Source organism: Homo sapiens, chromosome 5, assembly GCF_000001405.40.
Source record: "Homo sapiens chromosome 5, GRCh38.p14 Primary Assembly".
NCBI lineage: Eukaryota > Metazoa > Chordata > Mammalia > Primates > Hominidae > Homo > Homo sapiens.
The window spans coordinates 95,392,150-95,414,233 of NC_000005.10; the positions used below are offsets into that span (position 1 = coordinate 95,392,150).

Consider the following 22,084-nt stretch of genomic DNA (forward strand, 5'->3'; position numbering starts at 1 on the left):
CACCATGGAATACTATGCAGCCATAAAAAAGGATGAGTTCATGTCCCTTTGCAGGGACATGGATGAAGCTGGAAACCATCATTCTCAGCAAACTAACACAGGAACGGAAAACCAAACACCACATGTTCTCACTCACAAGTGGGAGTTGAACAATGAGAACACATGGACACAGGGAGGGGAACATCACACACTGGGGCCTGTTGGGGGTTGGGGGCTAGAGGAGGAATAGTATTAGGAGAAATACCTAATGTAGATGATGGGCTGATGGGTGCAGCAAACCACCATGGCACGTGTATACCTACGTAACAAACCTGCATGTTCTGCACGTGTATCCCAGGACTTAAAGTATAATTTAAAAAAAATACATTCCTGATTATTTTAGAGCTGTCTGATCCTAAAAAAGTTTCTAAAGGTCTTATAGAAGTATCTGTAAAGAAATGCTCTTCTAGCTAACTATAGATGTTATGGGGGGATGGGGGAGAATTGGGATAAGTGAGGAGAGGGGAAATGTAAAGCAAATTGAAAGCCTCCCTTTAAGCCAAGCTATATGTACAGAAACTGCCCTCAATTAAAAAAAAATTAGCAGCACTGCAAAAATTCACTTGTCATAGTTCCTGACCTGATTCAGCATTCTGGTTACCTAGATACAAATGTAAACAAAAGTGCCTCTCCAACTGCGACTGCAGAGGAACAGCCAGTTGAACCTGATGGCCCCCTTCCTGGCTCAGACAATAACCAAGAAAAGAAAGCAAGTACTTTTCAATATTCACATTAAAAGTAGAATACTTTGCTCAGCTTCTTTAAAGTTTAGAGTGCTTAGAGAGTTTAAGAAGTTCTGGAAGAATAGTTCTCCCACATTTCCTGTTTGTTCTGTCTTGGCAAAATGGCTGCTGAAAACACAAGCTGAAAAGAAAAATGACCTCAATTTACAATTTCATTAATTAGACTGATTTTTAATATATGGGGCTAAAATTCTTTTAAGTTGATCATTATGTATGTTTTATGATGATTCAAAAGGAACCATGATAAACTCAAGGTGCAGACTTTATCTTTATCTCTAACATGAAAACCGGTATAGCTAAATAGAATGTTTCCTTTATTAGAACTTGTCGTATCTTCTCCGTTAAAAAGAACATTTTTTAAAGCAGTGTTTTTAGACTTTTTTTGCACTTCTCTTAACACCTTGTAATTTACATAACAAGAGGCAGATGCAGTCACTTGTTACATAAAGCACTAGCACAATATCAAACATTGATTTTTGGTATGTATTATATAATAGGCTGTACCACATACTAGCTGTGGGACTTTGGAATGATTACTTAACCTCTGTTTCTTCTTCTGTAAAATGGGTGAATTAGGCTTATCATACAAAGTTATTGTGGGTTTGAATGAGTCACTTAAGTAAGTGCTTAGCAAGTAGGAAGGGCTACAGTATGATTATCATCATCATCTACATGATCTTGGGCAAGTCCCGTACTTCTCTGATCCTGAAGCTCCTCACCTATAAAAAATAGTCATCTTAATTTCTTTCCATAATAAGGGTTTCAGCTTCTTAAGGTAACTAATGTCATCCTTACACTAATGGGAAGGTAATGATATCCACTTTATAGGGCATTCATGTCAAATAAAATTATGTCATATACAAGAACGTATTTCATAGCCCATAAAACCAAAAAGCTATAACATTCAAAGCATTATTATGAAATGGATAAAACTGATATATGTAAAAAAATTCCCATAGTGGCCATCAAGTTGTTTGTGAGACAGTTTTTATATATAATAACATCCTAGCTTATAGGAATGAGGATAAAACAGAACTGACTCTTATGTTCAATTAGCAAAGATATAAAAATTTAAATACTGTCTTAGATACCTAAAAATTACATTTAAAAAATTGCACCAAAAGCCAACATCAGTGGCTTTTGTTCTAGGTAGCAAAATTACAAGCGAGAATTTTTATTCTGTATCTTTAACTTTTCTATACTTTTCCAAATATTCCTCCATTGTTATGCTTAACATTTGTCACTTAAATAGTGTGTGTTGTAGGTGTGTTTTTAAGAAGATGCTACTTGTGGTCTTTCAAGTAAGACTTAAAAATTAATAAAATAAAAATAAAACATAGATCTAATTGTTACACTTCAGAAGGAGAAAGGAGGACAAGTTAGTGCCCTTGGACACTGTATTCATCATACACTTTAATTCCACAAATACTTGGAGAGGACTACTCTCCAAACATATAAGGAGGGACCAACCGGTTGCTGAGGAAATGCCAAAAATAGATCCCCACACAGACCAGAGGGAGCAGTGGAAAGGTGAGGAGGAAAGAACTGGCAATGAAGTAGGTGAGGTCTCAGGACTCAGTACTGTTTCAGTGGGAAACAGGAGTGAAAACACTCTCCACGGCAGAAGGCATCAGGTCCTCTGACTTAGGAAAGTTTCCATAACGTGGCCACCTGAGTGCCCAGTGAATCAGTAGATCCATTCTCGAGGGGAAGACGTGGCTTAACAGCATTAGACCCATTGCAGACCCCATTCAGCAATGCGGGGAGGGTACAAGCTCTCTCCTGGGGGTTCACAGGCTCCCTCGTGAGCAGCCTCGAGCCTTTTCTGCCTGCCCACCACCAACAGGGCTGGGTCAGGAGAGACTTTGTCAGGCGTTCTTTACAGCATCCCTGAAAATGGACTTCACATTTTTTTAAGGTTTTTTGAAGGAGTGAGGTATCCAATTAAGTTTCTTAAAACTTAAGAAGTAGTAATTCCTTGGGCATTTGAAAAAGGAATGCTTTCTGTATGTGAGTCTTAACATATTCTGCCCACCATTATAGTACACAGTAACATAAAGCAAGAAAAAATATCCTAGGAATATATTTTGTTAAAGTTTTTAACTGAGGTGGAATACCACTCATATTCTCCATATTGAATCCAGTTCACCAATAGGCTATTAAAATTAGGATAAATCTGTCTTGTTTTTTTAAACTTAAAAGAACATTAGAATTTAAGGCATTTTCGGCTGGGCGCTGTGGCTCACGCCTGTAATCCCAGCACTTCGGGAGGCTGAGGCAGGCGGATCACAAGGTCAGGAGATCGAGACCATCCTGGCTAACATGGTAAAACCCCATCTCTACTAAAAATACAAAAAAAAATTTAGCCAGGCGTGGTGGCGGGCGCCTGTCGTCCCAGCTACGCAGGAGGCTGAGGCAGGAGACTGGTGTGAACCCGGGAGGCGGAGCTTGCAGTGAGTGGAGATTGCGCCACTGCACTCCAGCCTGGGCGACAGAGCGAGACCCCGTCTCAAAAAAAAAAAAAAAAAAAGAATTTAAGGCATTTTTGAGATATGAAAAACAGTGAGTACATTGGGTATCTTCTTTCCTGTCATAAAAATGCTGCAAATTATCAACTTTCATGAAAATAGAACTTTCTAGTAGTACCATTTTATTGAATTAGAAGTTGCCAGTTAAGTGTACATATGGCCAGCTATACTTAATGTTGGTAAATCATGTGTATGACTGCTCTGGCTATAATAATCTGACATCCAGGTACTTGGATAGGCTAGTTTTCTAGTTCGGGGCTTTGTGTTTGAAAATTAGCTGTTTCTCCTTAGAAATCAGCATGTCAGGAATCATCCACTCTGTGAAGACTTCTTTAGTAACTCAGTCAATAATCATTAGATATTTCATTTTAAAATTATCTAAGAATAATCTATGGCTTTGACTTTTCCAAAAAGGTTTTCTTGACTGTGATACCAAATCTATGAAATACAGCTCTCTAGTATCTCCACAGAACTTAATTTTGTTTTTAGTCATTAGCAATACAAAGGGGACATGTGTAAGATTAACTGAGCTGATTATCTGGTCTATGGTATACATTTTGTTTAAAATTAAAACTCTTTAAAGATAAACTGCATAGAAGTAATCTGTAAAGAAGCAGATGATATATTCTGAATCTGTAACCTTTGTTTTAGGTAAGATTATCTCCAGCCAAAATGTCAACCAAGAATTCTACAGATCTAGTTGAATATGTTGACAAGTAAGTGTGTAAATTACAACTAGTTTTAACTATTAACTGCATTTATTGTGACAAATCTCACACGCAAAAAAGAAAAAATCCTGTGTTTAATTATTCAGTCAGAGATGAATGTACCTGAATGAAACCTTTAAGTTCTCTGCATTCAGAAGAGATTAAATCATGTCAGAAAGACAAACCTGATCCTGTTCCTTTCTGATTGACAGAACAAGCAGATTTAACTACCTTTTCTTTAAATGACCTCCATAGGTTCCTGTAGATTTATGTGAAAAGCAATACAACATATTGCATATTGCAACAATATCAGATATAGCTAACTATTGACTTCAAAATAAACCAAGTAAAGCTGTTAACATTTCATGATAAAAACTCAGGAAATTTTGAGATATATTTCACTAATCACTAGAAGATGTTGTTTCTGCTATTTACAGTGCCATACCTGGAGCTCCCCCAGGAAAGGTGTACCACAGAGGGACAACTCCAGGCACTTGGAAATAGAGTAACACACTGTTAACACATGCACATTGTCCAAAATACCCAAGGATGCCAGTGATGAAGGTGGCATTGCAAAGGCAATGCATATTAATTTGAGTTGTTTTCTATTCCATATGTCAAAGCAGGATTTGGTCTAATGCTGTCATTCATGTTTTCAGGGCACTGGGGATTTAGTGTCAGTCCTTCTACTACTTTGCTGTGTAACACCAGTCAGTTCCATAATGTCTCTGGGCTTTAGTTTTTTCATTTGAAAAACAAAGAGGTTGGACTAGAAACTACTGCAGCTTTAAAATAATTCTGATTTTAATAATCATGACCACAGAAGAAAAAAATAGCCAAATGAATGAAATGAGTTCATGTGAAGAGAAAAATCTAAATACACCTTGAACTTCGATTTTTTAAAAATTATCTTTAACAATTAAGATGATAAGATTTCTTCACTAATTTTTACTGCATTTTTTTCACAAGAATTCCCCTGTCCCTTGGCCAGTTAAATTTAATACATTCCAAATAGTTCAATCACAGTATGTTAGCGTTAGCCCCTTTTTTCATGTTCCACATAACTTGTATTTGTTTATATGACTATGAGTCTATGATTTAGAAAAAAATAAAACTAAGCATGGGAAAAATATTTTTAAATGTTTAAAAAATGCAATATTTGGACAGATGACTTTTCTTCTGAGTTAAGGACAATGAATGTAGTATGCACAAAAATAATTATTATAAATAAATGTATTAGCTAACCTTATCTTCCAAGGAGAAAAGGGAAACTTGTCCCCACCTGACTCTCTACATGACAAATGGAAAATAAAAATCATTCTTCTGATCCGTCAAATTCTATTACAAACCTGTGTGGATTTCTTTAGCTCAAGCTGGTGATGTACATCCCAGGAGATGAGAAAATAAATTCCTGGAAAATGGTAACAAACTTAAGCAGCAGAAGATAAACTTTTTGGATTTCTTTGGCTTTCAGATAAATTAAAATGAAGACAAAGAGGAAGAAATAGTCTATAATGCAAAGCAAAAGCATGATAAAGATTACTTCACTCCAACATTTATTTCTACCTTAATCTCTCCCTTACCCCTTCTCTTACTATCTAAACCATATATCTGGAACTTTCTATTTATGATTTCACATTGTTAATTGTCTTTTGGTCTCTCTCTTCGCATCTCTCAGAACAGGCTGCAAACTCCCTAAAGGAAGGCACTCTATGGCCTTATGATTTTTGATATCCCTCCAGTAGCCTATCATGATGTACTGAATACACTTGATGAACTGTAGTTGACAGATTTAATGGAAAGTAATGGTAGAACAATTGAATTGTTATAGCTTTGCTTAAATCAGCTGATTAACTGGAAAAGCAAAATGGCATTTGGGCATTTCAGTAATAAGTGCAGACATTTTGAATTGACATATTCAATCCAATAAAATAAAAATAAAGAACAATGGTTTTTAAAATAACTTCACTGGCCAGGCACAGTGGCTCACATCTATAATCCCAGCACTTTGGGAGGCAGAGGTGGGCAGATCACCTGATGTCAGGAGTTGAAGACCAGCCTAGCCAACATGGTGAAACCCCATCTCTACTAAATATACAAAAATTAGCCGGGCATGGTGGCGTGCACCTGTAATCCCAGCTACTCGAGAGGCTGAGGCAGGAGAATCACTTGAACCCGGGAGGTGGAGGTTGCAGTGAATGGAGAGTGTACCACTGCACTCCTGCCTGGGTCACAGAGTGAAACTCAATCTCTAAATAAATAAATAAATAAATAAATAAATAAATAAAAAACTTCAGCCTTCAACTCATAGTTTTCATTGGGTGACAACAAATGGATTGACATGCAAACAGAGTACTTAAGTAAAAGTCATTATCAACTCATTAAATGGCCTGAGTTTATATTACAGGTTTTCAGAGGTTTGGCCTTAAAACCTATATGGGTATATTTACAGGTAATACTATGAGCAAAGAATAACAACTCAAAAAGTAAAAATCCAGTCCCTCAGGGAGCTATCTAATAATGCGTTTGGAGCCATTCTAGCAGGAAGGAGAGAAATGAATTATTAGATAGCTGGCCGGGGTAGGCCTCATTAAGAATCTGACATTTGAGAAAAGACCAGGAAGTGAGGAATTTGTCCATATGGACATCTAGGGGAAGAGCAAAGTTTCGAAGGCAGGAATATTCTTACGGTGTAGCAGGAACAGAAAGGGGGCAAGGATGGCTAGGGTGAAAAGGAGGGAAATACAAATTGGAACTATGATAGCATCTGGGATTCTATTTGAAAGTCTCTGGAGAAAATGAATCCTGAGTTTCTGCTGCCCATGAGGCAAATTCCAACTTTCCTGAACAAAAAGGAGGCCAAGGAACTGAGGATTTTTACTGAGTTTTCCAGGCTGGGCTATAGCCAATATATAACTCAGGAATTCTCTCAAGAGTACATTTTGTGAAGATGAGGGTCTGGCTGACAGCCAAAGAATGATATTTAAAATCTGGATACATAAAACTTTCAGCAAGTCAAATGGGCAAAATAATAAATGATTAATGACTTCCCCTCATGAGTAGAATATGGAATTCAGGGTCTGAAAGTATTCATTTTCAAGGTTTTTCTTAGCACCATGGCAGACACTTTATTATTCCGTGATGCATTGCTTTTGTTACTACATGGTGAAGAGAGATATTTCACATTACAATGCATGAGAAAGGAAGACAAAACTCTGTTGGTTGAACTTTCTATGGATAGATCATGTTAGGTTGGATGGTGCTACTATCAGCCACAGTGCAGTCTTTTGGTCTTTCTCTTTCTTCTTTTCATGCCCCCCCCCACCCACCTGTGATGGGCAAGGCTCTGCTGAGAGTGGGCACAGTCACAGGGATTGGGCATTACCCATAGGGACCCCCAATTAGTAAGGGAAGGGGCTGCCCAAATGATGATCAGTCCCTCCTAAGAGGCTGTCTGGATTCTTGTCACATTTAAGACCTTCTGCTCAAGCGTGAGAACTCCACTGAGGTCAGGCTGATGCTGATCTCAGTTCTCTAGAGCACAGAGGGAGCCCCCACCAACCTCTGGGCCTCTGAGAAGACCCTTAGGACTCCGAGGAGAGATGGGAGCCAGGCAGGAAAGGTGACTTGGTGAAAAATTACATGATGTTGGCAGCAAGTTACATATGAAGAAGCAGAGGGAAAGACACACCTTTCTCCTCTGAGAAAAGTGCAAATGTAACAGGAAGAGCCACTAACTGGCCTAAGCAAAGCTGCTGTGATGTAGGAGAAAGAGGAGAGGCTAACTAAAATGTTTCGCTGCTGAGTGACTCATAGCCTCCATGCCTCAGTTTCCTCCTAAGTAGAGACAAATTTTACTCATGCCACAGGGTAGTGGTGGGAATGCAATGAAAATGATACATTGACTATAAGCACTAAATAGAAATAAGATAGTGTTATAATAAATTCCTTACATTTCTCCTGGGCTAGGAGCTCCCTACCACAAACTGCGTGGCTTTAAACAATAGAAATGTATTACCTCACAATTCTGGAGGTTGGAGGTCTGAAATCAAAGTGCCAGCAGGACTGGTTCCTTCTGAGGGCTCCAAGGGGAACCTGTTCCTTGTCTCCTGCCTAGCTTTTGGTGACTTTTGGGAGTCCCTGGCACTCCTTGGCTTGTAGATGTGTCAGTCCAATCTCTGCCTCCATCTTTACATGGTATCTCCCTGTGTTTCTGTCTTCCTACAGCCACCTTCACATACATACATACATACATACATACATACATACACACACACACACACATACATACATACAGGCATCTTCACATCGACACCAGCCATGCTGGATTAGGGGCCCACTCTACTCCAGTAGGACCTCACCTTAACTAATTATATCTGCAAGACCCAATTTCCAAATAAGGTCACATACTGAGGTATTAAGCTTTAAGACTTCACTGTTTCTTTTGGGGGGACACAATTCAACCCATAACAATATTTAATAATTATAAATTATTGTAAGAACACATATATACAACATTGTACAAGACATATTTACAAGACATTGCAGAGTATTTCAGGTACACATCCTTTAACTTGATCTCGTCAGCCAGGTGGGAGGGTCAGGAGTCCCTCTCTCCACAGAACAGAGAGGGAGCCCTCTTCCGGGCAACCTCAGAGAGGTTGAAGTTAGCTTGTGACAGAGATAGAACTTGAACCCAAGTCTTCTGACTCCAAGTACAGCGTTCTTTCCCCTGGAGACTCACATTAAACACTCCCCACCCCCACCCCCAAAGACCAAAGTAATATGGGAAGGTATCTCAAGAGGGCCACAAATGCTACAGGAACTCCCAACATCATCAAAACAATTTGCTACTGCAGTTTGCATATGCTTCACCTGTAAGTATGACCCAGACATCCACCCTGCCCTCACTGATACAGGGACTCTGTTTGGAACCTTTGTCAACCTTGATGCCTCCACATGAAGGAAAACCAATCGTACCAGGCACATCACTCATTTTGCAATCTTACTAAAAATTTTGCTGAACATGAGGAGTCTGCCTTATAGAGCGCATCACTTTTCACTGGAAAAGAATCACAACCAGTTCTTTCTCCAGTCTCTTCTGGACCGTGCCACTATATGGAGTTCTTTTTGGGCCCTTCCTGATGCTCTGTGCTGGCCCAGCCCTGTTGGCCTGGTGTACTTCCTTCTGCACTGGGCCCACCAGAACTCAAATTGCCTGCCTCACCCCCCAGAGCATTCAGCCCTACCTAAAACTCAGCAGTGGAAGTCTCTCCAGCTACAAACATCCACTTGCCAGGGTGGTTATAAACAAGCAACACAGAAACTATAGAAAATGTTTTTTCTATTTCATCACTCCCCACACACACTCATAGATTATTTTTGTGAGGCATCAAAATATTCTCTGAGATTTCACTTCAGGTTTTTTTTTTGTAGGACTCTCTGCACTCAGACCGTAACTAGTCATATATTAGATCTCATAAAAATGTAGAAATCTTTCTTCGGTATGCCTTTTTGTGTTCTAGAAAAAGGTTTAAATTTTCAAGTTTGATTCTCTGAGTATTACAGGTTGCCAAAATGGTTACCAGAATCTCCCCAGTAAATTTAGGGCTCTATTCACAAGAACAGAACAGGCAGGGAAGTGAGAGGCTCCATGTACCGGCTGATCTGCCAGCTACAGCACAGCTGGTGTAAGTCACACCGAATTACAGAAAAATAGAACTCAGAGTTTGTGGAAAATCTGTTCAGATTCAGTTGTCAGCTACATAATCAATGATCTATGTGAAGCCCAAATATCTCTCTGAAAAGGCCCCCTAGGAATTTTTCCTCCTGTGGTTGGTGACTCCATCTGCACTAGTCTGGAATATCCAGTTATTTCTTTCCTTTCATAGTTAAATTTAGATCTAGGTCCCACTGACATACATAACATACTAAGAAAGCAGTGAGGTTCTTAAATTTACATCTTACTACTAGGGAAAGCCCTCAGTTTTTATCCCTTAGGAATACCTAATGATTTGAATAATGGCCTCGTCAGGAATCTCTCTTAGAAAATTGAGACATGCTCATGTGTTTGTTCTTCCATGGTTGATTTAGAAAGGTCAATTGGAAAACAATATTCTCTGTCCTTGTGGCAATGCAAATAGGGAAAAAATATAAGCTGTCTGTTGATCTTCAGGAACCATGTAAATAAAACCAAACAGAGCCATCATTTGGTGCTTCATTAAACCTTAAGAATTAGCAATAATAATAAGACTACAGTTAATAGTAAATCCCAGGCCTGAAAAGGAATTTCAAAAAGGAAAGCTCTCCACTTAAACATAAAATAAATTTTAAAAATAATCTTTAAAAATTTAGGAGAAGAAATAACTACAGTCCAGCATTTGCATCCCACTTAATGTCTCCATGGTTGCAGGCAAATAGCTTTGCATAGCAGTAGGTGATACCCTCCTAAAAGTCTTCCTTCGATGGGCCAAATAGCCACAGCATTGAAATCAGCCCTGACAGACAAGACCACAGACCTGCTGGCTTGGGTCTGCCCTCGCATTGCTCTCTCTGGATATAATCTTGACATTAGCCAATAGCACCTCACCCGCAAGAGTGAGGCCCTGGGACCCTCTTAACCTCAGACATACAGGTGTGTGGCATTGGTTTCACCACCCTCTCTACTGCATGCATCTCACTTATTGTCTCAGAACTTACAACCACACAGCAAAATAGGCCTTGTTGGCCCTGTTTACAGATGAAGCAATTAGAACACTCGGTTGGTAAGTGGTGGAGCCTGTGTTCTACCCTCAGTCTACCTTGCTTTCCAACCTGCCAAGCTGCTTCTGGATGTCTACAGAACTTGAGAGCTCATATTCCATAGTTCACTACTTTAGCACTTCATTATATATCCTGCCTTATATTATTCGCTGATTCACATGACCAGTCTTGAACAAATCAGTGGTGTTTAGTCTTTAGGATACATTAGAATCACCTATGCGCTTGCTTAAAATGCATATTCTTACTCTCCCCGCCTACCCTAAAATTTTGATTCAGTAGGTTTGTGTTGGAGTGGAGTAATCTGTATTTTAACAGCTTCCCTCCCTCACCCTCCCCTGTGATACCAATTCAAGTATAAGAAATACTGAATTAACTTAAGTTCCTTGAGGAACAGAGCCATTATATGTAAATATGTAGTATTACAGGTATGGACTAGAGTAAATGTGTGTATGGACTAGAGTAAATATTGTATATGAACTAGAGTAAATATTTAGTAAGTACTTAATGTATCTTTATTTGAAATGACATTTTTATTGGTAAGTGACTAGATACAGACACAATGCTTTCAGCTGCACATAATAGAAGCACTAACCAAAAATGGTTTAAATGTAGAAATACTGATTAGCTCATATAACAAAAAAAATCCAGAGTTTGGTAAATTTAGTAGCTTCAGAACATCATTAAGCAGCCAGGTGGTTTTTTTTATTCTTTCTCTCTGCCATTTCCTTTTTCCTCATGATCACAAGATGCCTTTGGTAGTTCCAAGCATCATGCACAGACAGGACAACATTCAGCGAAGAAGAGGGAAGTTTCTTCTGTGTATCCCTTCTTGAAGGCAAAGACACTTTATCCAGAAGCCCCATAGCAGGTTTCTCTTTGCATCTCATGGGCCAGAATTGCTTCACATGCTCTTACCATAACCAATTGCATCTCAACCCAGAAGAATGGAATCTTTATGATTAGTTTGCCCCTCAGAAGGACATGGGGGACAGGAAGGATGAATCAAGTCAGGCAGAAGTTGGGGGTGGCTGTTGGGAGGGTAACCAATGGTATCTGCCATACTGAGAACATCTAGGAGAAAACAATTTCTAAATTTGGGGGGAAATGAAGCATAATTTATAAGTGTCTGTACAAGACTGAAAACCGGGAGACCAAATACCTTTGCTGGCAAATCTGGGATATAGATTGTCTAGAGGCCACAAAGCAGCACTGGCTCAAAGAAAATAATGAGCAAATCTGCAGTCCACCACTAGGCTATGTGTCACCTTCAGCAGAGCCTGGCATCTTCTTCCCTTCTGCCTCTGACTCATACATCCAATCCAGGGTAGCACTGACAGCATGGTGGGGGTTTTAGGGGAATGGATTTTATATATGGTAGGTACCATTTGGTGATTTTCCAAAAGAACATTTTTGAACCAAATGAGTGGTAAATGCAATCTGACTCACAAAACCCCTTGGCAAAGTTTTCTTTGCACCTCAGATTTCCAGGTGATAGAAAAGAAGAATCTCTCTGAGTGTGCGAGTGTGTGTGCACATGTTACAAAAACTACCATGTTAATGAAATATTCAATTTGAAAAAAAAAAAAGAAAAGAAGAATCTCACCCAGGCTGAGACTATTTTATATTGCTCAAGAGAGTAAACTATGTCTTGAGGCTCCAACAAGCTGTGACTTTATGGAGCCACTTTTTTTTGGTCCAGTTTTCCAACAACTGAGCCTTAAGGGAACAGTCCAGGTAGAGAAATCAGTCTGTCAATCAACAAATATTTATTGACTGCCTACTATGTGCCACACATTCTTCTCAATGTTGGGGGACTGTGCAGAACATGCTAGAAAAGTGCCTCACATAGGGAGCTCTCATTCTAGTGATGGAGGATAGACAATAAACAGAAACAAGTAAATAAGATAATTTTAGATAATGACAAATGCTTTCTAGAAGATAAAATGGGGTATTATGAGAGAAGGCCTATGTGGTTGAATGAGATAAATGGAGGGAAGAATGGGAGGAAATGAGGTTAGAAAGGAGAGATAAGATTTTATTCTGAGAGAATGGATAAGCCATAGGAAGGTTTTAAGTAGTCAAGGGCTACCATTTACACTTTAGAAAGACCACTCTAGCTGCTGTATGGAGGATGTGCTATTTGTTAGGAGGAAAAGTGGAAAAGATAATGGTGGCCAGGATCAAGAAAGGAAGAAAGAACTAAAATAACCGTGGGTTTGGAGCCTAAGAATACTGCTGGGTGTTATTTCTGCAGCTACCCTATTAGGTCACATGACTAGCATTAATGTCCCCCTGCTTATTGTTGGAATGATGAGAAAATGTGGGAGCTAATGTTAACATTTGATTTTGGAATCTGTGAGTTTCAAATCGTGACCCTGAATCTCCAAGTTGTGTGACCATTCCTTGTTCTGTCTGGTAAATTTCCTCAGTCTGGTCTTCTAAATCACTAATTCATTCTTTAGCTATTTTTTCTGTTATATTTATCCTACCTTTTATTTTTTATTTCAATTATATTTTCCATACCTAATGGTTCTACTTACTTTTTACGTTTTCTAGTTTTTCTTATTTTACTAATATCTTCTGTTGTCTTCTCTCTTAATATGTTTAATAGCCTTTTAGAAATTTATTGTGTACATTTTAATATTTCTCTTCTGTGGGAATCTGTAATCTACTAGGTTGTTTATTTGTAGGTTAATTACTTTTAAAAAGGCTGTGCTCCTCAAAAGTCCTGTTAATCTGGCCTTTGAACTCATTTCCCCTGGGCATTTCAGCCAGATCCTGGTCTCCAATGGAGCCTTGTCAGCTCCAGTGAGTCCAGGGGTGGGGTGTGGATGAGCCCCAGGCACCAGAAAACCACTCCCTATTCCACAAAATAACTTCTCCTGTCAGGTCTTCACCTTTTGCTCCCCAGGAAGAAGCAGGTTTAGGAGAACACTTGCTTTCCCACCCTGTGGACATTTAGAAGTGAAACAAGGTGGCAGCAACTCCCCAAAGTCAATTGTTCCCCAAGTTTCTTGTTATTGTTACTGCTCCAATTCCTTACCAACACAGTCCCTCTGCCCTGCCTAATCTTTCTTTAGAGGACACCTAGAATAGTTTGACATTTCACGGAGTCAGAACAACTGGTCCCAAGGAAATAGAGAAGAAGAGCAGACTTATGTTGTTCCCTTTCCCTATTTTATCTTCCCACAGCCCTCCCAAGCTATCTCTTGTCCCAGGCCAACGCAGCCATCTGATTCAGGTTGGGTTGCCCAGGGAACAGACTCTGAGATGGAGATTGGCGAATAGAAGGCTTATTACAGAGCACACTGGGATCAACACCTGTGGAAGGGAAGGGAAATGAATGGAACTGAACAGAAGGAATAGTTGAACTATATGAAGTGAGTTGAGCCAACTAACTTCAATTAGTTATATATGGATTTTATATATATTAGGTACCATGGCTCCAACAGTTGAGCCAAAGAAGACTTCAACCAACTTCACAGGAAGCTCTGGAGCTGGGACAGCCCTTCAAAGTTGTCCAGAGTTAGACCAAGCATGCCAGGCCTTTATACCCACACACTGTCCAATCACTGAATAAAGCTGCCCCAGAAAGTGGGCATGACCTTGACAAGGCAGTTCTCAGAGAAAGCTAACAGCTGAAGTCTGCCAGCTGGCAGCACTCCCAACAGTTGGGGGGTATAAGTCCTTCCTTCCTGAACGGGGAGCTGGGTGGCACATCACGGCATCCACAGCACCACCCACACACGCACCAGTTTAAAATAGCCCCCACCACCCCAGGGGTTTTTCACTTTCTCCAAGTCCTTCAGGATTTTGTAAGGGAGACAGGATGGGAAGCCACATTTATTCAACATTTTTGTCAAAACCATAGTCAGCCCGGGATTTTTTTTAACCTCTGAATAACTGTCTAACTCATTTCCTTTCTTTCTGCACTTTGTCTCACATGAGCTGTCATATCCCTCTGGGGCCGATTTACTTTAGCTCCCATGTTCTCACTAACTCTCAATTCTGTATTGCTTGCTGAAAGCTTTATTTTCCCAGGAGGCTGAAGCTGAATGAGTCCTCTGAAGACCCAGCCAGAGCCAAGTAGAGGTGTGCTGGCTCTGCAGAGACAACAGGACCCCTGGGCATGGGGGATGGCAATATTTTCCATGGGACCAAAGTCTGCTCTGTGAGTCCCACAGAATCCCCCATCATTTCTCAGGTCCTAGGCCCCCACCCCACCAGACAGTTGAAGTATGTGGGATGGGGTAGGAGCCAAGGTGAGCAGTGGTGGTGCAACTCTTCCTTTTGAAAGCTACCTGAGTGATTCCAAAAATGCCTGTTCTCTTTTACACACACACACACACACACACACACACACACGCACATCTGCCAGCTCAGGCAATCTCATTTTCTTCACCTAAGTCTTCAACCACCATTGAAAGCTACCTGAGTGATTCCAAAAATGCCTGTTCTCTTTTACACACACACACACACACGCACACACACACGCGTGCGCGCACACAAACACACACGCACACCTGCCAGCTCAGGCAATCTCATTTTCTTCACCTAAGTCTTCAACCACCATTTACTTCTCTGATAACATCCAAATCTCTGTCTTCAGACACATTTCAGACTGTTCAAGGGGCATCTCTAGAGAGATGCCATATACTAAATCCCAAATTTGTTTTCTTCCCCCAAAACCTAACTGTTTTTTGTCTGAATTTTCAGTGTTGATGAAAAGTGGCATCATACATTAAGCTCAAATCCAAAACATCAGAATCTCTCCCTCCTTCAGGCTCATTTCCAATCTATCTCAAAGTTCTACAACTTCTAGGTTTATAATATCTGCAACATGTATTCTCCTTCTTTATGTCCAAGATCACCATCTGAGTCTCAGACCTTCCTCATTTTTTCATGTAGATTACTGTCCATGTTAGTTATCCATTGCTGTGTAGCAAAGTATCTCAAAACTCAGCGGCATAAAACAGCGAATATTTATCTCACAGTTTCTCAGGATCAGGAATTCTAGGATAGTTCACTCATATAGCTCTTGGTCGACACCCCAGACTCTTGCTGGCTGTTGTCAGGAGTTTTCAGTTCCTCACCATGTGGACCTCTCCACAGGGCTATTCAATATGGCAGTTGGCTTCCCCCAAAATGAGAGAGAGAGAGAGAGAGAGAGAGAGAGAGAGAGAGGAGGGAAGGAGGGAGGAAGAGAGAGAAAGAGAAGAATCTGATTATCATAGGGTGAGGAGCAAACCACACATATTGAAAGGCACAACAAAACTAGCTTGCTTCTTCAAGAAACTGATCAGTGAAGGGAAGGAGTAATATATTAAGGCCAAGAGAGGGTATCAGGATTTTTAAGTTTCTTTGCCTGTACATGAAATAGCCCTGGCCTTTGTCTTCTCCCATTTCTAATTTACTTTGTTTACTTTTCGTTGAACTTCTGACTCTTTTGCTCATCTTTGCCTTTAATCTGTGATTTCTTTCATCTGTTAGTAGGCAGCCCTCTCCTCAACATAGAATTATCAGGTATTACATTTGTATGGACCCGGAAATCATCCAACTTGGTTTGTTAGAATAGTGGGTAAATTGAGCAGGAAGCACATTCCAGGGATGATTTGGAGGCAGAGTTTGGAGGGGACCTCTTCTCTGCATGTAATGTAGTATGAACTTCAGACTGCTTAGGCTTGAATACTGGTCCACTGTTGTTAGCTGGGTAAACTCGGACAAAAGTTATTCAATCTTTCTAAGCCTCAGTTTTATTATCGTTAAAAACAGGGTAATATTAATAGACCCTCCATGGTGTTATCATGAAGATTCAATAGATGACTCATTTAAAGTGCTAGCCACAAGGTCTGGCTTGTATTAAATGCTCAAAGATACTAGCTATAACTATTTATAAAGTGCAGGAGTAGTGTATGGACACGGTGGTAATGTTTTTGACTGCTCAGTGACGTTTTCTTCCCTCTTTCTGATTCTCAGGTTCTAGAATTATGTTATCCCAAACAGTAGCCACTGGCCACATGTGCCTGTTGAGCACTTGAAATGTGGCTAGTCCAAATTGAGAAGTTGTGCTATAAGTGTATAATACACACTGGACTTCAAAGACTTATCTTTAAAAAGAATGTAAAATATTCCATTAAAAAGTTCACATTGATTACATGTTACAATGACATTTTAGATATAACGGTTTAAATAAATTATATTGTTAAAATTAACATTATCAGTTTTTGTTTTGTTTTATTTTGTTTTCTGAGATGGAGTCTCGCTCTGTCGCCCAGGCTGGAGTGTGGTACCTCAATCTCGGCTCACTGCAACCTCCACCTTGCGGGTTCAAGTGATTCTTGTGCCTCTGCCTCCCGAGCGTCTGGGACTACAAGCGTGTGCCACCACATCCGGCTAACTTTTCTATTTTTAGTAGAGATGGGGTTTCACCATGTTGGCCAGGCTGGTTTCAAATTCCTGACCTCAAGTGATCTGCCCACCTCAGCCTCCCAAACTGCTGGGATTACAGGTGTGAGCCACCACGCCTGGCCTGTCATCAGTTTTTAAAGAATTTTTCTTAATGTGGCTATTAGAAAGTTTAAAATTGTCTATAAGGTTTACATTATATTTCTTTTGAGCAGTTTTATAAAGATGAAATTACAGAGCTACTAAATTAAAAAGAAGTAATATATTTCTATATTTTATTTACCTGCATAGCATGAGCCCCTCTTCTTCCTTTATAAGCCAACCAGATTCTGCTGACCTTCACTGGGCAGTTGAAGCCTCGCCATCCACACACACTGATCCTTGTGAGCAACCATCCATCACTAGGGTAATAAAATTATATCTGTGGCCAAACTTTAGCCAGCTTCTGGCATTGCCCAAAAAAACTTAGCTACAGATTAATCCTCAGAAAGCAAACAACCAACAGGGAAGAAACAAACTTCTTATTTTTTAAATTCCTTTGGCAGAGATACTTGATATCAAATTGGAGGTAAAAAGGAGGAAAATTGCATATGGCAAATACCACCAGTAGTCAATCCAGTAGACGTTTTCTCCTTCCTCTTTGCTAATAAAAGTCCCAATTTTGTTTAAGGCTACAAACAAAACAAAATAAGGTATAAGAGGTGGCTATATGACATAGCTTCAGCCAATGAAATATAGACAAAAGTGTCATAGTGAGTCTTTTAGAAAGGCTATCTCGATTTAAAAAAGGACGGGTGGGGACAAACTCAACAGATGCACACATTTTATTTTACTTTTTGCCTTCTGTCTTTTCTATCGGGAATGGGGACACAATAGTTCAAGGTGGAACAACAACCTTGAGACCTGAGGGTAAAGGTCACATACTATGAGTGGGCCAGGAAGCCGGAAGGAGCTGGGCACCTGATGACTTCCTCAGTCAGCTGCTCTACCTCTCCACTTCTTGTTACTTGAGCCAAACAAACCCTACTTGCTTCAGTCACTCTCTCTGGATTTCTGATAAACACAGCTAAACACAACCCCAGCTGAAACCCGCAGTCCAGAAAATGCTAATGTTCACAATCTGGCCCTAAAATCTGCTGTCCCGAGGACATTTTCACTTCCAAGAAAATCTGTCACTATTGGCCTAAAGCAAATAGTTATTTTGGCTCATGCAATGGGAACAAGCATGAATTATTTGGCCTTGGCTTTTTATGATCCAGCATATATAATAGTCATTTTTAAAAGATATATACTATATATCTATACATCTACATAAGTATATAGGTACAAATATATATTTCCAAGAGGGCAGGGGCTTTATCTGTCGTATTCATCATTTTATTTCCAGGCCCTAATAAAGGCCAAATCTCCTTTTCCTTAAGGCTGACTTCTCTTTCCAGTGATCTTCACAACATAATTTGCTACCATTCAGAGGCGGCAACATGGAAAACATCCTAGGCTAAGTTACAGGTGACCTAGAGCTAATCCTGGCTCTACCAAATAAATAGTTCTGAGACATTGAAACATTTCTTCAAATAAAAATTCGTGCAGAAATTCAGTGTACTAAGCAGGTAAGATTAAAGAGAGAAAACCCGCAGCCCCTTCTACTGGGTCACAGGATAGTAAGAAATCCCCAAGAAATTTAATAGCATTAAAGACAAATTTAAAGTAAACCTCTCACTCAGTTATATAGATTTGAAGGAATGTTGTCATGTTCATGTATAAAAAATGTGACTTGGTATAGGGTCAGAAATCAGTACACATAAGGGCTTTGGAAATAACCTGTATTTGGGGACTATATAAGCAAGTGTTTTAACACATGGGCTTTGGATGACCTAGGACCAGTTAACTATTCCATTAACGGGTTTGATAATCCCAAAAAAACACAATCCTGAATGTCATAATACCAAATGTGGAAATCCCAAAAAGATCTAAATCCCCAAAATATAATTCTGGAAAAAATAATTTAAAAGACATTTCTTCACATTTATAAAAGGAGATTTATTTTAGAAACATATAAAAACATGACAGAGCATTTCACAGGCCACTTTACATAATAAAATAGGCAATAGTAACATTTGTATTTTTACAAGCATAAACATACAGGTATACTAACAACAGTCATATGGGTATAATGTTATAAGTGGATGAACCATATTCATAAAGAAATAAGTCAAGATTCAAAATGTATAAATGCATAACACTATGGTAATTTTATGCAACCAGCTTTATAACTGTAGTCATCTGAAACACCATGACGATAACCTAAGTCTTTTGATAAGATTGATCCAAAACTTCAATGAGTCACTACGGCATATGCAATTGCACAAAGAGCTGAGATCTTAAGAAATTTTATCTTTCACAAATGCAGTTGTACAAAAAAGGACATCTCTTCATTTATTGGGGAAGTTTCAACATTTTTACATACACAATGCTTACACACAAAGTCAATGTTGTGATAATGCACTTTTGTGGAGTCAAATTGACAAAATATACATAAAACAAATTAGAACTTTCTGAAAGTCTTTATACAATTTATACTCCAGTACTGCAAATGATGTGAAGATGAAATACACAGCATAGCAAATTGTGAAAAGTAATAATAACAATGCTGACAATTTAAGATAGTGGGAAAGAACTAGAAAGAAAATTCAACGTTTGAAAAAGTATATTACAGGGATACATTATGGGCAATTGCCTGGAGGTAGTCCATTAGAGCTGGCCAACATTCACAGTCATATTTTGAAGTCTTGCATGGCAATGAATTGCTGCTTTTTTTTTTAAGACATGACTCTCGTCAGAGAATATGTTCACATTTCATTCCTTTTCCACATAGCACTGCTCTTTTTGAAATTCTTCTATGATTCGACATACACCAACATGAGCAATCCCTATTAAATATTTCCATCTTTGCATAATTTTTCTATGCTGTTTTCGGTACACAGAAATTCATTCCACATGCACTCATATGCAGAAGCAATACTGATAATCAAATAGTCACACTATTGTGTGTCTTCTTATCTTACTATGTGCATAATTATATTTGAACCAGTTGGTAACTTTGCTGGCTTCTTCAGGCAAATGTGGCTTTAATTCATTAAAATTTCCTAAAATGTCATTAGCTGGGAGGAATGCCACTGCAAACAAATGAAATATTTTTAAACCATATGGGGTGGCCAATTCACTTGTCTGAATTTTTCACCATATGCATTGGGCTGAATGACAAAAACAAATTTTATTGATGACACCTTGAGATTCACTTTTAGAAGCCTTGAAGGGACTTAATTCCAAATCTGTCATGGTTTGGGGATTCTACTAAAATCCATTTTCTTCTGCAAAGTCCACCAAATCTTCAAATAAATGTTTATAAAGTGCTTTACTTTTTCCAGTCATTAATATATAAAGAAGCAGGTAAGTTCAAGAATGTTTGGATCCAACTGGGGCATGATGGCATACAGTTGATAAGAAAGATGGGGACGATTTTCAAAGTGTCATTCCTCAGCCAAAGTGAAGGATGCACTAGGTTGTCTATGTTAGATTTAGTGGCAAATATAGGAAGTCTATCTTCTTTGACAGTCAAATCCCAAACTAAGAATATTTCATCACTCAATGAGTTTCAGAACACTGGAGGAACCTCTATATCGGCAAGCATCTTTGGTTCAGAATGTTGCTCAGCTTGTGGAATTCTTTTTATTCTCTGATGAAGAGTGTTTTTTGAAGGCAAGCATGGCACTATGTGTGAAGGGGCAGAAGTCATACATGATTGAATCATTTGACAGGGGACATTTGTTATATTTTTCACCTGTGTTTTTACTTTTTCTATGATTTTCGAAACACTCAAAACATTGAGAATAGATCTTTCTCACGTTGTGCACTCAGACTCACACACTAATCTCCTCTGGAAACACCCTCACAAGATACACTGCTACACCAGGTTCTAGGTATCCCTTAATCCAGTCAAGGGATTTTAAACTTTAGGAATTTCAATGTTTGAGATTATGTCTTTTGGGATTATGATTGGTACCATTCATGAACTAATTTCCTTAACTATGAAATTAGAATAATTCTGTTAGACAATATGAAAATGTACAATGTGAATCTCTAAGGGAGAGACATCATATGCAAGGTTTTCTAAGTGTATTTGATCATAGAATTCTTTTGTGGTGGCCTATCCTCCTGACTCCTATTCCAGGACTCACACCTTGGAAAACTCTCTAACACAGTCACTTTTGCATCTTTATAGTTATAAAAACTTAATTTTTTCTACGTTAAAGTAGAATTTTCATAAGGGGTATATAAAGGCGTCAGTCTTGGAAGAAGGCTTCTAACATCTTCTTTCATGAATGCCTCTACCCACTCCTAACTACCACCAATTGGCTTGAAGCATGAAAAGTGCATCTGCTTCTTAGATGAGACCTTCACCAAATTCTAACCATGGCAAGTGCTTAAAATCCTATCAAACTTCTCACAGGGCAAAAATAAAGGATCAGAAGTGAGGATTCTAGTTCTGGTTCCTGGCTCCTCCAGCTCATTCTTGTAATGCCCTGGTGTTTCCTTTTCCTTTTTCTGATCAGGAGTCATGCTTTTCTCCCCATCATTCCAAACACCCAGAGAGGTCAGCTAGAAGACAGACTGAACAACCAGGCGCGTACCATAGCTTTCCTTCTTGAACAAGCCTTCCGCATCAAGGAGGACATCTCTGCTTGCCTGCAGGGGACCCATGGCTTTCGAAAAGAGGAATCGCTCGCCAGGAAGTTACTGGAAAGCCACATCCAGACCATCACCAGCATCGTCAAAAAACTCAGCCAAAATATTGAGGTAGTTCTCTTTTTGTTTTATTTTGTTTTTGTTTTGTATTTTG

The 22,084-nt window shown here is 39.2% G+C and overlaps 1 protein-coding gene across 6 annotated transcripts in view, besides 1 other annotated feature; it reads left to right on the forward strand.

The window, feature by feature from the left end:
* FAM81B (family with sequence similarity 81 member B) overlaps window positions 1–22,084 on the forward strand; it is a 59,076-nt gene that overhangs the window by 784 nt on the left and 36,208 nt on the right. For 4 of the 6 annotated variants that reach the window (NM_152548.3, XM_011543207.2, XM_047416821.1 and 1 more), the window contains exons 2-4: window positions 645–748; window positions 3,962–4,026; window positions 21,798–22,041. In NM_152548.3, coding sequence (NP_689761.2) covers window positions 645–748; window positions 3,962–4,026; window positions 21,798–22,041 — 413 coding nt within the window. Of the gene's footprint in view, window positions 1–644; window positions 749–3,961; window positions 4,027–14,137; window positions 14,160–18,618; window positions 18,795–21,797; window positions 22,042–22,084 lie in introns of those variants that run through there. The other 2 variants (XM_011543209.2, XM_011543210.3) reach the window with 2 other exon arrangements.
* Window positions 377–1,234: an enhancer, noted in NCBI's record as "OCT4-NANOG hESC enhancer chr5:94728230-94729087 (GRCh37/hg19 assembly coordinates)". NCBI's record gives its function as "activates a minimal SCP1, AML or CMV promoter by ChIP-STARR-seq in naive H9 embryonic stem cells {active_cell/tissue: H9 hESC(naive)}" and the evidence as "EXISTENCE:reporter gene assay evidence [ECO:0000049][PMID:30033119]".